Here is a 17,042-nt window from a genome sequence, read left to right on the forward strand (position 1 = left end):
TTGATTTTTGTCTAAGATCAGATGGTTGTAGGTATGTGGGCTTATTTCTGGGTTCTCTATTCTGTTCACTGTTGTATGTGTCTGTTTTTATACCGTTACCCTGTTGTTTTGATTACTGTAGCCTTGTAGTATAGTTTGAAGTCAGATAGTGGGATGTCTCTGAATATGTTCTTTTTGTTAGGATTGCTTTGGCTATTCGGGCTCTTTTTTGGTTCCAAATGAATTTTAGAATAGCTTTTTCTAAATCTGTGAAAAATGACACTGGTATTTTGATAGGAATGGAGTTGAATCTGTAAATTGCTTTGGGTAGTATGGCCGTTTTAACTATATTGATTTTTCCAAGCCATGAGCATGGAATATTTTATATTTCTTTGTATTGTTTCTGATTTATTTGAGCAGTGTTTTGTAGTTCTCATTATAGAGATCTTTCACTTCCTTTATTAGATGGATTCTTAGGTATTTCATTTTCTTTGTGTCTATAGTAAATGAGATTGTGTTCTTAATTTGGTTCTCAGCTAGAACACTGTTGATGTAAAAATGCTACTGATTTTTGTACTTTGATTTTGTATCCTGAAACTTTACTCAATTTGTTTATCAGATCCAGGAGCCTTTTGGCAGAATCTTTAGGGTTTTCTAGGTATAGGATCATATTTTCGGCAAAGGGATAGTTTGACTTCTTCTTTTCCTATTTGGATGCCTTTTATTTCTTTCTCTTGTCTGATTTCCCTGGCTAGGACTTCCAGTACTATATCGAATAGGAATGGTGAGAGTAGGCATCCTTGTCTTGTTTCACTTCTCAGTGGGAATGGTTCCCGTTTTTGGACTGTTCAGTATGATGTTGGCTGTAGGTTTATCATAGATAGCTCTTATTATGTGGATGTATGTTCCTTCAATGCCTAATCTGTTGAGGGTTTCTACCATGAAGGGATGCTGGATTTTATTGAAGGCTTTTCCTGCATCTATTGAGATGATCTTATGGTTTTCATTTTTGATTCTGTTTATCACATTTATTGATGTGAGTATGTTAAACCAACCTTGCATATCAGAAATAAAGCCTACTTGATCATAGCGAATTAACTTTTTAATGTGCTGCATTTGATTCAGTTTGCTAGTATTTTGTTGAGAATTTTTACATCTGGGTTCATCAGGGATATTGGCCTGAAGTTTTCATTTTTTGTTGTGTCTCTGCCACATTTTAGTATTAGTATGATGCTAGCTTTGTAGAATGAGTTAGAGAGAAGCTCCTCCTCCTTGATTTAAAAAAAAATTGTTTCAATAGGATTGGTGTCAGTTCTTCCTTATGTGTCTGGTAGAATTCAGCTGTGAATCCATGTAGTCCAGAGCTCTTTTTGGTTTGTAGGTTTTTAATTACAGATTCAATTTACAAATTTATTATTGGTCTGTTCAGTTTTTCACTTTCTTCCTAATTCAGTCTGGTCTGTTCAGGTTTTTACTTTCTTCCTAATTCAATCTTTGGCATTGTGTGTTTCTAGGAATTTATCAATTTCCACTTGATTTTGTACTTTGTGTGCATAAAAGTGTTCATAACAGTCTCTGAGAATCTTTTGTGTTTCTGTGCGATCAGTTGTAATGTCATCTTTGTCATTTCTGATCGTTCTGATTTGGATTTTCTCTTTTTTTTCTTTGTTAATCTGGCTAACAATCTACCAGTCTTGTTTATTATTTCTAAGAACCAACTCTTGGTTTCATTGATCTCTTATATGGACTTTTGGTTCTCAGTTTTATTCACTTCTCTCTCTCTCTTTTTTTTGTATGTTATTCTAAAACTACAGATTTCTCTCCTTCCATTCTCAGCCATATTTCTAGAAACAGTCTACATTTATTGTCTCCATTTCTAACTTTCCTTTTGTTCGTTATCTCATGGCAATCTGACTTCTTACCCCTCTCTCTCCCCTGGCCTGTATGAAAACTGTAACATTGAATTTGCCACACTGCATGGGAACTGCCTGCTTTCTTATAGGTATTTACAACAAGATTTAATGTCTTTTAAGGAGTATTTATTCTATTTGTAGTACCAGTGCTTTAGGTGTGATATCTCTCATCTATCTATCTATCTATCTATCTATCTATCTATCTATCTATTTTATTTTACTTTTTTGAGGTAGTGTCTCTGTTGCCCAGGCTGGAATGCAGTGGTGCAAACATGGCTCACTACAGCCTCAACCTCCTGGCCTCAAGCGATCCTCCTGCCTCCACTTCCTGAGTAACTTTGGTCACAGGTATGTGCCAGCATGCCTGGCTAACTTTTTTTTGTATTTTTGTCTTATTTTTATTTCAGAGTTCCCCTCAAAAAATAACCTACTTTTTATTTTTTATTTTTTTTGTAGAGACACGGTTTCCCTATGTTGCCCAGGCTGGTCTTGAACTCCTGGTCTCAAGTGATCCTCCTGCCTTGGCAAAATGCTGGGATTACAGGTATGAGCCACCATGCTTGACCTCTTTTTTTTAATTAAACTTTTTATTTTGAGGTCATTGTAGACTCATATACAATTTTAAGAAATGACAGAGATCCCTTGTACCCTTTACTCAGTTTCCTCCAATAATAACATCTTGAAAAGCTATAGCACAATATTACAACCATGATATTGACACTGATAACAGTCAAGGTGCAGTATCATTCGCCACAAAGATCCATTACCACAAAGATCCCTTATGTTGTGGATTCAGCCACACATACTTTCTCCTGCCCACCCATTCCTTAACCCCTGATACCACTAATTTGTTCATTTCTATGATTTTGTTGTTTTGATAATGTTATATAAATGAAATCACACAGTATGTAACCTTTTGGGATTGGATATATCGCAGTTTGTTCAATCATTTACCTGTTGAAGGACATCTGGGTTGTTTCCAGATTTGGGTTATTATACAGGTTTTTGTGAAAATCGAATTTTTCTTATCTCTGGGATAAATTCCCCAAAGTGCAATTGCTGGGTCACGGTCAGATGGTAGTTTCATGCTAGGGTTTACGATAAATACCCAACAGTTTTACAATAAATTTTCTATAAATAAAGAAGTGAACAAATAATGTTATACCAAAATCTTTAGAATGAAGATTGGGCTTGAATAAATGTATTTTTACCATCTGCACAGACAATCCTATTAACTACAAAAATGACATTCTAAATATTCTGAAACATAATACAAAGCAGAAATCAATAAAGCTTAAATGTGAGGGATAAGCTTATTCATTACTCTAGGAGTCAGGGTTTTTTAGCCTAAAATGTATTTATAGTAATAGTGAAGTCTGATTCACCAGAAATGATGTACAGACATTACACTATAATATTTAATCTCCAAATGGCTACACTTTGAAAATTAGATCTAAAACCCCCACAAATGATAAACATAACTTGATAATCAGTAATGTATATTAAATAAGTAACCACATGCTCTTTAAAGATGTTTTCCTGTTTTTATGGTGGTCCATTACAGTGTTCCATTTCAGGGTGCTCCATCAGAGTTCTTGCCTTGGGTTACATCATCTCATCCCAATGCCAAGCCCATCTTTTCATTTGAAACTCACAGCCAGCACTTACAATAAGGGTCTTCATGTATCATAGAAGGAACATGTGCTAGACCCAGATGGACGTGAGGCTGAATCTGAACAATATAACTTACTGGCAAGTTATAGAATTTCTCTTGGTCTTGATTTTCTCATCTATTAGATGAGGATAAGTCTAAACAACCTAAATAACTTGACAGGGCTTAAAGTCACACGAAATAACATATACAAAGTACCTGGCACTGAAAAAGCATCAATAATATTCAATTCCCTTCACCTATGGCATTTTAAATTTTCCGAGGAATAAATTCCAATGTTTATTTATAAATGTTGCCCAAATTTGTAGTGGGTTGTTACAGATCATTCTTATCCAGGAGATTTGAACGTGTAAATTTAACAACCCAATCATATCCAAGGAAATATTCAAAGGCAGTTGATGCAGTTTCCACAGGGCCTTCTTAAAATTAGAGATAGATATTAAAATAAAGAAAAAAAACTATGCCTCATTGAAAAAGTTTACATTTTGGGATACAAACCCTATCTTCTTATTACTTGTTTTCTTATATTTTCTTCGGTATGAATATATACACTCCAGTTCAAGAAAATGAAGGGATTTTTTCTTAATTTGGGCTGATGTATTTTTATTTTTAATAAATGCTGTCAGAAACAGGACCACCATTTGCAGAGCCCAGAATTAAACAAACACCATCTTGCAGAATGGTTAAGAAAATGCATCAGGAACCACTAATAGTAGAAATCACCTCTTATAACAGACAGGAGTAGTAGCTTGCAATAATCTCATATCTGATTTGAACTTATAAAATTGAGGAAGTTCAGTGGTGGCTTCATCATCTATTTGCAGTGTAAAATTTAGGAAAATATGCATAAAAGATGAAAAATGCAAGTTAACATAATGTTTCATTTTTCAGTGGTGTTTTGAATTATTATTGGGAGCCTGTTTGTATCAGAGAAAAGAATGAGAAGAGACATTTATCAAGAATTTAAAGGAGCTACTCTATAGTAAAAGATGATTGGGTACATCTTCAATAGAATTCTTTAACTCTATTGTGGCAAATTGAGAAATAGGTTGAAATAATGGCGTAAAACCAAAAAAATCAAGGTTGGCTCTGCTCTTTGGAGTACCAGGTACCACATACACCACAAGGCCCTGCCTAACTCAGAAGATCATCTCCATTAGTCCAACACAGAGACCTAAATGATTGTTGTGTCTTCAGAAATACCTCATGAAAAAGTGTTCAAATTACTTTGGTGATGAGATCAATTAGCATTTGTCGTGAAATCATTTACCAGATTAGCTAGTCACTACCTAGGTTAGAACCCTGAGAAAATAAAGCACAGGCAGTTTAGTTTTGTTGAGAGTAAGGGGGATTGTGGGAAGTTCCTAGCATGAAGTATTTATAAGGAAGAAGGAAGGAGGAGCTGAAAAAGGAGGTGGGAGACAGGGAAAAGGAAGCAGGAGCATCCTGGAGTCTTAGAGGATCAACTGGCTGTAAACTTTTGAAAGACAGGAAATATGGTGGGTTCACCATTGTATGCAGGTTAAATATCACAGCACCTGGGACATAGCAGGTGCACAAAAAAATATTTATTGAACAGATGAAAGAACGTATGTTCTAAAATGAGGGCTGGTATCGATTCTGAAAGGGGCGGAAGGAGAGCATTCCAAAGTAAATTTATGTAACAAAGTTTTCCTGGCCCTGGCCCTGCTGAAGCTTGTAGAGCCATGGGTATGAATATAAGAGGCTGTGGAATTTCCTTCTGTAAGATCTTTAAAAATGGTATAGATTCTTACATATCTGGAGGGGTTCCTATGAAAACCAGGAGAATGATCTGAATAATCTGAATAGCCTCTGGTTCTTTCTTCCTTGGGCTTTTGATTTGTTTTTGTTTTTCAATTTCAAGAGATGCAATGCAAAATTATATATTGCCATAATTACTACCATGCAAATAACAATAATAATTTATTGAGTTTACTGTATGCCAGACAACTTGCTGAGTGTGGAATCTCCACTAATGAATTGTCTCATTTTTATTAACTCTGAGGATTTTGTCAGTTATTATACAGTCCTCCTGCAGATGGCACTCTTCTCCTGCAGAATTGTCACCTCTTGCGCTCTGGACTTGAGCCTTACACTGAGATAGGGATGAGAAATGAGTGATTTTAAGGTTGGTACACTATGATTAAAAAAAAAATTATCTATATATGATTTGAAATTCCTAAATATGAATAATCCAGCCCATTAGAAATTTAAAGAGTTTTTAAAATACGAAACTTAAGTTCACAAAATTTTTCAATGGCTTTGCAGCTTTGTCTTTATCTTTATCATAACGGAACATAATTTGCTGTTCTATTTTCCTCAGGAAAACTAAACAAAGAATGTTTTTTGACAGGCAAGCTTCAGCTCAGAAGATGGATAAATAGCTCTTCCCCTCCCCTATGCTTCACTTTGAACTTCCCTCTCTACCTAATCTCTGGCTCATCTTTCCTCTTTTGGAGGGCCCAGGGTGATTGAGCCTGTCGAGATGAATAGCTGGTGAAATCTGACTGGTTCCTGGGTGGGCCACTGTTCATCAGGCTCACCTGGTCCAGCTGGGACTCAGCTTTTCCTTCCACAGTGTGGCCACAGCTAGCGCTGAGTACAGGCCTTCGGAAACCTGCAGGTATAGATGGGTAAAGCAGAATTAACAACATGCCCAGAAATAGCAATTTCGTTATTACTATTCCACGGTATTTACAAAGACACTGTTTTGTGCTTGCATAGCTTTCTTTATGCTTCTGGGCAAATGTGTAAAACATTTTTAGCTCTTATGTGGCTCCGGCAAGTCAATATGTCACCTCCAGTGATAGCATCTAGTTGTCTGGCACACATGTGAAACATTTAGAATTATATAGCTCAGAGCTCTGGAATTGGTATTACCTATTTTATCAGATGCCTGTGTATAGCGCTATAAGGCACTGCTTCTTAGAGTATGATCTATTGATCATCTGCTTGTGAATCACTAGGATGTATGTTAAGAACAACAAAAATAAAACAAAATCTTAGACCTGCCTTTCTTCCCAGCTGCATAACCAGACTATGAAGGATTTAAAAGAAACTGTCATTCTTGCCCTCACTAAAGCTTCAGAACCATGAGAAAACAGTGCTTTCAGGAGCTAGCAGTTCCCTGAGCACAAATTAAAAGTCTGATTTTAGTACTGGCCTCCAACTACTATCCTTTTCCACTTGGGGATATCGTTAGTGATCTCCCACTCTTTTTATTCTCAATTAATTAAAGCTTATCCCCAGAGTCTTTATTCAGTAAAGATGATCTGAGAATCCCCCTAAGTTTAGTGCTTTTTAATAAGGTCTCCACTGCTTGCTTAAGGGAACTCTAAATTCCAGCACGCTTCTTTCTTCTGGATTAAGGGCTGGCGCAGTCAGGATCTCTTGTGTAACTTTGTCCTCCTCCTACCCACATCTGTCTGGTCTCTTCTGGCCACCCTCTTTTCCTTCGTACTAGCAAGCAATGATTGTTTAAGATCTGATCCAGTGTCCTTCCTCAGAGGAGAATTCCTCGAATCCTCCTGGAAGAGGTGGTTGAACAGTCAGAGCAGTTACTGCACTGCTCCGTAACTTGTTTCCTATCATCTTGGAAGTAGTTCCCATCTTATTTGAATCCCTGGTATTAAGCCTAGGGCCTTGTAAATAGTAAATGCTCAGTAGATGTGTATTGACTCACTCAAAGATTAAAAAAAACACCTTTCACTTCTGTTCTTGTATAAAATTATAAACCAAATGTTAATAAGTGAGCTCCTTGAGCATACACCCATGGCTTTTTCGTCTGTTAACATGAACAAATGAACTTGTGAAAGAAAATGTTCTTTTCCATATACAAACAAAATGTTATTTCCATATACAAACTTGAGACACCGTGGACACTAAGGATAGGGGCCATATTTCATTCATGTTCATACCTCCAGCTCTTAGCACAGTATGTAGCACGTAATAGCACTTGCTAAATGTTTGCTGAAATAAAATTCAAGAAGCTACCCACGAATCACTCTATGTTACCTCAGGCAGTACAGGAGAAAAGGCAGCCTCACTTTTACATATGTGCCTGGAACGTTCTCACAAGCAGAGAGTTAGTTAGAGGGCTTGTCCTAGGTGCTGCAGCTATTTAGAGGTGGATGCCAGACTAGAAATCGGGGCCGTTCAGGTTTAGAGGAGTCATGCCTCAGCAGGAACAGGTGGAAAAACAATCTTTTTGAGCAGGCTGTAACGCAACATATCGTTGGTAGGGGGCAATGCTGGCACACAATATACATGAAAGAGGCCGACTTTCAGAAGAGGAGACTTGGGAAAGTTTAGGGTATCCTTTGGAATCAATGGATGGAACCATGACCAGTGTAACAGCAACCACAACCAGCACCAGAGCCAGAACTAGCACCACAACCACCACCAATATTAATGGCCATTTATTTCATGATTGGTGAATGGCAGCACTGATTTTTTAGAACCGAAGTCTTCTGATTTTTAGTTTGATATGGTTTTTGTTACACTGTGCTATTTTTTTAATAGAGTTTTTTGTTTGTTTGTTAAAAAGTTATATATTTTCCTTATAAGAATGGTATATTATCCTTACAAAAAATTAAACTTAGAGACATGGATGTTTAAGAAGGTTAAACATTCTCCTTGTTCCAGCCCCTTCCCATATACAAATAATGTTTTTAAAAATCGTTTTTCCTATGCATAAACTAATATCTACTCCTTTCGTAGAAATTAAAACATAGATACGGCTTAATGCTTTAGGCAGAGTGGACTTAGACTTGCTCAATTAACTAACTGGACTAATATATTACCTAATTTTATGTGTGGCTTTTTTGGACTATCGTATGTGGGTTCATTTAAATGTTGGTCCTACAGCTCCTAACAATTATTTTTCTCCTATTTTTTCAAGATTAGTGTTATTGTGATGTTAGCCCTTTTAATTTGTAACACATGGTGGGATTCAAACCACTGAGTCTTAGCATCTGTCAATGACAAGATCATTCTTTTTAGTAATAGAAGGATGGTTGCTAATAATGTGGCAGAATTTGGCTTTTCATTGTTATGTTATTAATGACTACACAGGAGAAATTATGGGAAATATATTTTTTCTACTTAAGCTTCAGCCAGTTTTCTGAAGTCTCTTTTAAGTTTCCACATCAAATTAAACCTAAGGAGATCTTGGATTTTCCAAAGTAAAACTTTTCCGTATCTCCAAAGTTGGTATTTCAAGTTATTTATGTAGGACTAGCTAACGTTATCTTCTACTCCTTGAGATGTTGAGGTTGTCTGTTGCAATTATAATGATGGGAAAGGGTAGTCTGGGTTAAGCAGAAAATGGTACCTAGTAGATTTTATCTCAGGAGTACCCTGGCCAAAAGGCAGTCACTTGTTATCTTGGATACTGTCCTTGATGCTGCTGATTTAAGGGTCTGGTTCGTTTTTTTTTTGGAACTCTTTCTCTTACTCTACTTAGAACTATTTATTTTTTATTTCACTTCTTTTAACTATCATTTTTGTGTCATTTTTTCCTGGTGTATATTATGTCTCTCTATATTTACTGTATCAAAATATTAGCATTGTTATATATATTATCTATACATGCAGTATATTATTATGATAGTACTTATTTGTAATTTATAAACAAGTAAATATACATTTGTGGTACTGGGTATATATGCCCAATTTTTTTAGCTGATGATGGTGTACAATAAAACATATTTGAGTCTACTGTTCAATATTATGTATTTCTTGAGGACACAGATTATTTCTTTTCTTCTTGATAGCCTTAATTGCTTAGGGCAATGTCTGGTCTATATTAGGTAGTTAATAAGTATTATTGGCTGGCTGGTTGGCTGGATAGATGGATAAATGAATAGATCATTTAATTATGCTTCTCTTTATGAATAGGAGGTAATTTTAACTTACTATTTACTAAATACTTAAATGTACTAAGGACACAGCTGGGCAATCAAACAACTAGACTAGTAACTCCTCTAGATGTTATGTTTGGATGTATTAGAAACTGATTCAATTTGCCACATTTTTCAACAATACACTGGATTGATTGATTAACACAAAATAAATAGTGAATATGATTGAGAAATTTTATGTAATTCTGCTTCAAAGGATTCATCTGTGCTAAATATTATCAGAATCACATTTAGGGTTTAGCAAGTAACCTGATCTCCACAAACCTCAAAGTTCGAATTTCTTTGTATTTCTTCTCTCTTTGGTGAAAATGTCATGTGATTAGAATAATACAATGACATGATTAGGGATGAAGTAAAGGGAGAAGAAAAATTCTAAAAAAGATTTGTGGGCCTGTATTCAATGGACATTAGTCTCCTATTCTCCAGCTCATTAGGGTGACAGAGATGGGACTGACTGCGAGGGAGCACTATGGCTTGGCAGTGACCACTTGGCAAATGGTCACTGCCAAGCTATAGTGCCCCCATACAGTCTCTCAGATCACGTCTCCTTTGTCTGATTTGTCCCTACCTCACTGTCAATCTTGATATCCATTTTCACCACTGTGCAAAACCACTGTACAGTGCATTGTAAGCACTTACAATATATTGTTGACCTACTACATGCAGGACAGTTTTCCAGGTGGCCTTGGACCTACCCAGTTCTCCCTCCTTTTTTGTGTGTAGTTCTCAAGAGAAACTGTAGAATGTTCTGGGAATGCAACATCCTGAGATAAGGAGGGGCTGACCTGAACAGTCCATTGTGCCAGTCCCCTCTATAAACAGAAAGTCACTTTGGCCCAGTATGTCATACTGTCCCTACAGTATAAAACCCAAGGCAGGCTACCTGTTGGGGGTCCCTCGGCTGTGGTGCAAGTGGGGCACATACTGATGAGATTTTGTCTTCCCCAGGCAGCTTTCCTGAGCCTTGAGGGGACAGGCTCGTCATGAATCCTAGGCATTTTTTTTTTCTCTTGCTGCTTATCTGTAAGTAATAAATCCACTTATGTAACTTGTTGTATGTGTGGGTGTTCTGTCTCACTGGACTCAGACAAATGGTAGCCAGTGCACAGTGAACCTGCTTCACACACATTCCCGTGATCTAATTTGTGCCTGTGTATATGTAAATGCATGTCTTTGACGGTGGAGGTAGTAGTCATGGTGCTGGCAGGGCAGTGTGGGAAGGACAGTGTGACACTACAGGCTTCACTCTGCTCCTTACCAAGGGGTGGCTTGTTTAGTCAGTTCTGCTCGCCACCACTCAGCCTGCCTGTCAGTGGGGGAATGACAGTTTTGTCTTCTTTCGTTTTAACTTCTTTATGATAGTCCTCCCTTCTGCAAATAGATAAATAGATTTTTTAAAAAGACACGTTGACTGCTATAATAAGCCCTATGCTTTTTTTCCATCAGAATTTCCCACATCAGCTTGGGGTGTTGCTGATGTTTTCTTATTTTACATGAGTTTTTTTTTTTTTTTTTTTTTTTGAGTCTCACTCTGTCGCCCAGGCTGTAGTACAGTGGTGTGATCTCAGCTCACTTCAACCTCTACCTCCCAGGTTCAAGTAATTCTCCTGCCTTAGCCTCCTGAGTAGCTGGGATTACAGGCACCCGCCACCATGCCTGGCTTATTTATTTATTTATTTATTTATTTATTTATTTATTTATTTATTTTGTATTTCTAGTAGAGACAGGGTTTCACCATGTTGGCCAGGCTGGTCTCGAACTCCTGACCTCAGGTGATCCACCTGCCTCCGCCTCCCAAAGTGTTGGGATTACAGGTGTGAGCCACTGTGCCTGGCTTTAGATGACTATTTTACTGCTATGGATTAAAATAGAAGGAAATGTGAATTGCTGTCAATGTGGGCATATTTGGGGGTTCACTTATGAGTTATATGACTTTTTATTTTTTGTTGATGAGACTATTTTCTTTCTCTTGACCTCTCCTCTTTTGCCTTTCTCAAAATAGTCACATACTAAACATGAATGCTCTTCCTTAGTATTAGTACCATGATATACCTGACCAGTTTTGCAAGAGAAGAAAAGCTCATGATGCAGAACAGTTTCTCATAGCAAGTGAGGTGGAAGTTCTTCGTACTATCTTCTTTTTATTTGAACAGTTATTTTTTTCAAAAAAGGGTTTAAGTACTAATTATATGTGTCAGTGATTTTCCTTTATAGTGGATGGTTTAACATGTTATGGCATAGCTGAAAGAAGAATCTAAATCTTTCTCAGAATCATAGTAGAGGAATGGTTTATTATTGAAGATCTAGAATATACTATTTTTAGCAATTGCTGGTATGGTAACACTTTTCCTTATTGCCTACGATTGGTACAAACTTTAAATTACAAACTCAGGCAGGCAAAAGATATAACTATTTTTCTAAAGCTTGTTTAAGTTCTGTTACAGCTTGAACTGTGTTCAATATCTGCCTCTCCCCATCCCCCTACCCCTGACAAATTGATGTCCACCTAGAATCTGTGACTGTGACCTTATCTGAAAATGGAGACTTTGTGGAGGTAATCAAGTTAAGGTGAGGTCAAACTGGGTGAGGGTGTGCCCTAATAAGAACAGGGAATTTGGACATAGACACACAGGGGAGACAACCATGAGAGGATGGAGGCCGAGATTGGAGAGATTCATCTACAAGTCAAGGAATACAAAGGAATTCTGACAACCACCAGAAACTAGAAGAGGCAAGGAAAGTTTTTTTTTTTTCCCCAGAGACTTCAGAGGGAGCATGGCCCTGCCGACAACTTCAGACTTCCCGTCTCCAGAACTGTGAGAGGATAAGTTTCTGTTGCTTGAAGCTACCCAGTTTGTGGTAATTTGTGTGGCAGCCCTGGGAAACTAATACAGAGTCCCTTTTTAAATTAGAGTGGCAGACAGTTAATCTTACTTGATTTGGAGAATGCTTTCTGTTTCTCTAGAGTTGTATTAAGTAGCAGTAAGATGTGATGTTGGGGCAGAGCCCACAAATTCTTAACATCGCTAAGCTATCCTGGTGTCCCTGAGCATCCTTCACTTGATTCACCATCAGTGCTCTTCCCTGGATGCTGCAGAGATGGCCTTTGCTCCCATTGACATGGCCCCTTCTGGTCTGCCATTTTCTCCACTATTGCCAGATCGCTCTTGAGTGATCAGGAATTATTCCACTGCTCCCATGTCATACTGTGGTTTATATAGATAGATTCTGCAACTATCTCTTGTCTGGGATATTGACATCTCCCAGTCCCAGCACTTTACTAGGACAATGGATTGCAAGTTGTCTCTGCCTTTGAACCCCACAAACCTGTCTGGGGGTGTTGCCACCTCTTCAGGACTTGATCCAAAGAATGGCTCTGGGTTTGTTGTTGATGCATGTTCTCCTTACTTCCTCTCTGACTCTGTTCCCATCACTCTGGCTGAAGAATGTTTTTCTAGCCTTGTTTTGAAGGTAGGGTGGGGGAGTGGCAAATTCTTGCCTACTCATAATGTTTTCTCTAAGATCTTTTGTCTGTGTCTTGATTCTTTTCTCTTCCCTTAGCATCCTAAATCAACAGTTCTCAACTGGAACTCATTTAGCAATGTCTAGACATTTTTGGTTGTCACATCTAGAGAGCTGAGGGGTTTTATTGACATCTAGTGGGTTGTGGCCAAGGATGCTGCTAAATATCCACAGTGCACAGGACAGGCCCTTATAACAAATAATTGTTTGCTCAAAATGTCATTAGTTCCACTGTTGAGAAACAAGCCTAGATCCTTGAAACAAAAAGAGTCTGAAAGATATGTCTTTTTCACTTTGCTTTCTGCCATCATAAATTCCTTTTTTTTGTGGCAATGAACACAGAATATTCTGCTTTGCAATGGGGAGAGTTAATGGCGAATAGAAATTCACCTTATATCAGAATTGTTCTGATTCTTCTAGGAAAGGATATTTAAAAATCCTTTCAACTTCCTCTGTCACGTAAATACATTCTTTATATTAAAATATAAAACAGAGCATTAGCAGTTACGGGGACTTCTGAATTGGCTAGAAAGCCAAATCATCTAATTTGGCAGGGGACAAAAATCCACTCTAGAGTTTAAACCATTTTGGTTGACTATCTAGAGAGCTCATATGACTTAAGCAAGTGCATGATTTAGCGAATTCATGCCAGGCTTGAGAAGAATGTGTAAATGTGGGTTGCAGTCTTGCTTCTCTTACCAGCTGCTTGAGTAGGCAACTTCATTTATCTGGGCCTCATTTTTCTCTTGTGATACAGGTTTACTCTAGATTATTTCTGAAATTAAAAATTGTCATTGAATTTTTTCCTAGGATAGGACCAGATTCTGAGCAGAAATAATTTTTCATATACAGACTCAAAATGTACTATATAAAATCATCTTTTTTCATGACATTCCTTAGAAATTCTTTGTTGGATTGCAGTTGTCCAACAAAAGTTGTTCTCTTTGTTTTCCATGTGCCCTTATTCAGGGCAAAGACTAAGCTGCACAGTAAGGAGACCCATCAACACAGTGACAAAAAACAAACAGACAAAAAAAATGAGGCTACACCACATTTCTCAGACTCCCTTGCATCAGGCGTGATTAAGTTTTCACCAATTGAATGTGAGGAGAAGTGAGGTGTCTAAACCCTGATCCCAGTCCTGAAGGCAGTGGAAGTGCCTCTTTCATGTGTTCCCTTTTCCTCCAGCTGAACTCCGGGCTTCAACTGTGCAGGTAACAGTGATGCCCAAGGGGGTGGAACAAGATGAAAGGAGTCTGAAACCCTAATGACAAAATGGAGCAGAGCCACCCCACCAAATTGGATTGCTTTCCTCAGAGCTGTTTGAGAAGAGATACAAACTTTTGTTTTTAAAGTATGGTTCAGTGTCTTTATTTTAGCTGGTTAGCCTTGGCCCTAATAAATCAAGGAATTCTTCATGTAATTGTTAAAACAACAAACTTAAAAAAATGCATTTTTGTTATACTCAGTGTGAGGCCTGATGTTTCCCTGCCTCACTGTCATTCTTGATATCCATTTTCACCACTGTGCAAAAACCACTGTGCAGTGCATTGTAAGCACTTAAAAAATATTTGTTGACCTACCACATGCAGGACAGTTCTCCAGGTGGCCTTGTATCCACCCAGTTCCCCCTCCTTTTTCGTCTGTAGTTCTCAAGAGAGACTGTAGAATGTGCTGGGAATGCAACATCCTGAGATAAGGAGGGACTGACCTGAAAGGCCCAGGCTTTGTGCCAGTCGCTTCTATGTTGTCTTCTAATATCTCATTACTAAAATAGAAGTGATTTTTTTTTTAAGAGACAGGGTCTTGCTCTGTTGCCCAGGCTGGAGTGTAGTGGTGCAATCACCACACGTGGCTAATGTTTTAATTTTTAATTTTTTTACCTGTTGCCCAGGCTAGTTTCAAACTCCTGGCCTCAAGCAGTCCTCCTGCCTCAGCCTCCCTAAGCACTGGGATTACAAGCACGAGTCACTGTGCCTGGCCATAAGTGAAATATTTAAAGTAAGAAGAGGATGTGAACAAGTTTTGGTCCATCTTGTTCACAATCTCTTCTTTTCTCTGTACTATTTTCTCTTGTAATTTCTGTACTAAATAACAATCCTCATAATCTACTCCAAGCTGGCATTTGTTGTCTTCAGGGATGACCTATGCTCCCAGGATGATGAGTTTCTATAATCTAAATGCAATGGCTCACATTTTAGACTTAAAGTATTATATTTCACACTGTGTTGTTCCTCTTATAGGTCTTTCTATTTCATTGCTTTTCTGGAATGTAGGGGTATATGGCTCTCTTCCCATGTGTCTAGGCACAATTGTCTATTGTGGTCACTTGAAAAGAATACTTGGGAAACTCTTCCCTTTAGGGTGCAGGAGGTAGAAGCAGTGGTAGAAGTGGATGGTGGTTAGATCGTCTTGGTTTTTACTGAGAAGGAAGCCATTTCTTGCCAGAGTTCTGCTCAAAAATCACTGCTTGCTTTCTAGCAAGTGTTCTCTCTGTTGTTACAGCCACTCATCTGTAAGTTATTGTAGTAGTGGTTATTAAGTATCATTTCAGATATCAACCAAATTCTGACTGTGAACTATTTTTGTGTTAAATGAAATATCATTTGTTTTAACTATGCAAATAGAAACTATTTCTTTACAATAAGTATTAACTTATCAGATCATGAATAAGAGAAAGACTGTAAATTGAATACCCGATTTTATGTATGTTTAAACGTGGACAAATAGGTTAATCATTCTCCTGTTAATTTTTTTTCTCTCTTAAAAGGCAAAGGTGATTAGCTGATCTGTGATCTGAAGGGAAATGACTTTGATCATCTTATCAACCTTTCCATTTAGCTTTCTTTAAATGGACCCATCTTATATAGTTGGCTTGGTACTATTTCCAATATACTTGCTATTTGAAATCAAAATTCTTCCCGGGTGACTAAGGAAATTTGGGTTAAAATGTTAGTTCAATGACTTTTTTCTCAATGACCTGGTGAAATAACTTTACCTCAAAATTTTAAATTGGTCTTTAGGAAAGAAAACTTGTTTGCACATTTTAATCTTGATATTAGTTCATGCAGGCCTATATATTTTTCGAGGGGCAAAAATCCAAACTTTAAATCCATAACCCAAGTTTAAATCCATACTTGCTTGCTGTGACTTCACTTGGATTTGAATAGGAGGCCCACCTTTCTTCTGATGTTTTAAGTAGGCAGTTGTAGATGGTTTCCCGGGAAGAAAATCCCCAACAGGGAACTTTTTGAAGAGTTGTTGCATTTGCTCTGTATGCTCTCTGTGTTTTGATACACTGAGCAAGGAATGTTGATGAGACATGAGGCAGAACAGCTTGTTCCTCCACAGCTATTTTGACTTTGCAATGCTGGCAGTAGTAAAAAAAAAAGAAAAAAAAAGAAAAAAAAATAGAAAAAAAAGTTTAGTGTGTTAACTAAGCAAACACATGGGGCTTGGAAGAAGGCTAGGGAACAGCTAGGCTATTCTTGGTATCCAAAACCCTATTGCTTAGGAACTTTTAATTCCAGTTTATGAATGTATAGTACTTGGAGTTCTACATTTCTCTAGATGTCCTTTGTCTCTGGGAGTGTTAACGGGAACAAATGGTGTTGCTAATGAAGTAAAATTGTTTTTGTGTTCAATAATTAGATTTTAGTACAAGGAAGATGACTTAGAAGAATAGACACCTCAAAGGATTCAGAATGTGACTGTGAAAACCAAATTAATTAAGAGAAATACTCATACTACTTTAGGTATTGATGAGTATGGATTATCCTGAAAAAATGAAAATATCAAAGATGGAAGTTTGTTATATTAGGGGCACTGCAAGGCATTTTAGAAGAATGTGGATTATAAACTTGAGTTTTGTGAGTTGTTGTTGCTGTTTTTCACAGAAGTGCCAGCATGCCAGCTTTGAGCCAATGCTTTAGGAGGCATGGAAAGTTTCCATTGGCCTCTCTTATGCTCCTACCATCTGCCATGAGAAGGACACACCATAGTTAGCAACAGCTC

The sequence above is a fragment of the Homo sapiens genome, chromosome 4 (assembly GCF_000001405.40).
Source record: "Homo sapiens chromosome 4, GRCh38.p14 Primary Assembly".
NCBI lineage: Eukaryota > Metazoa > Chordata > Mammalia > Primates > Hominidae > Homo > Homo sapiens.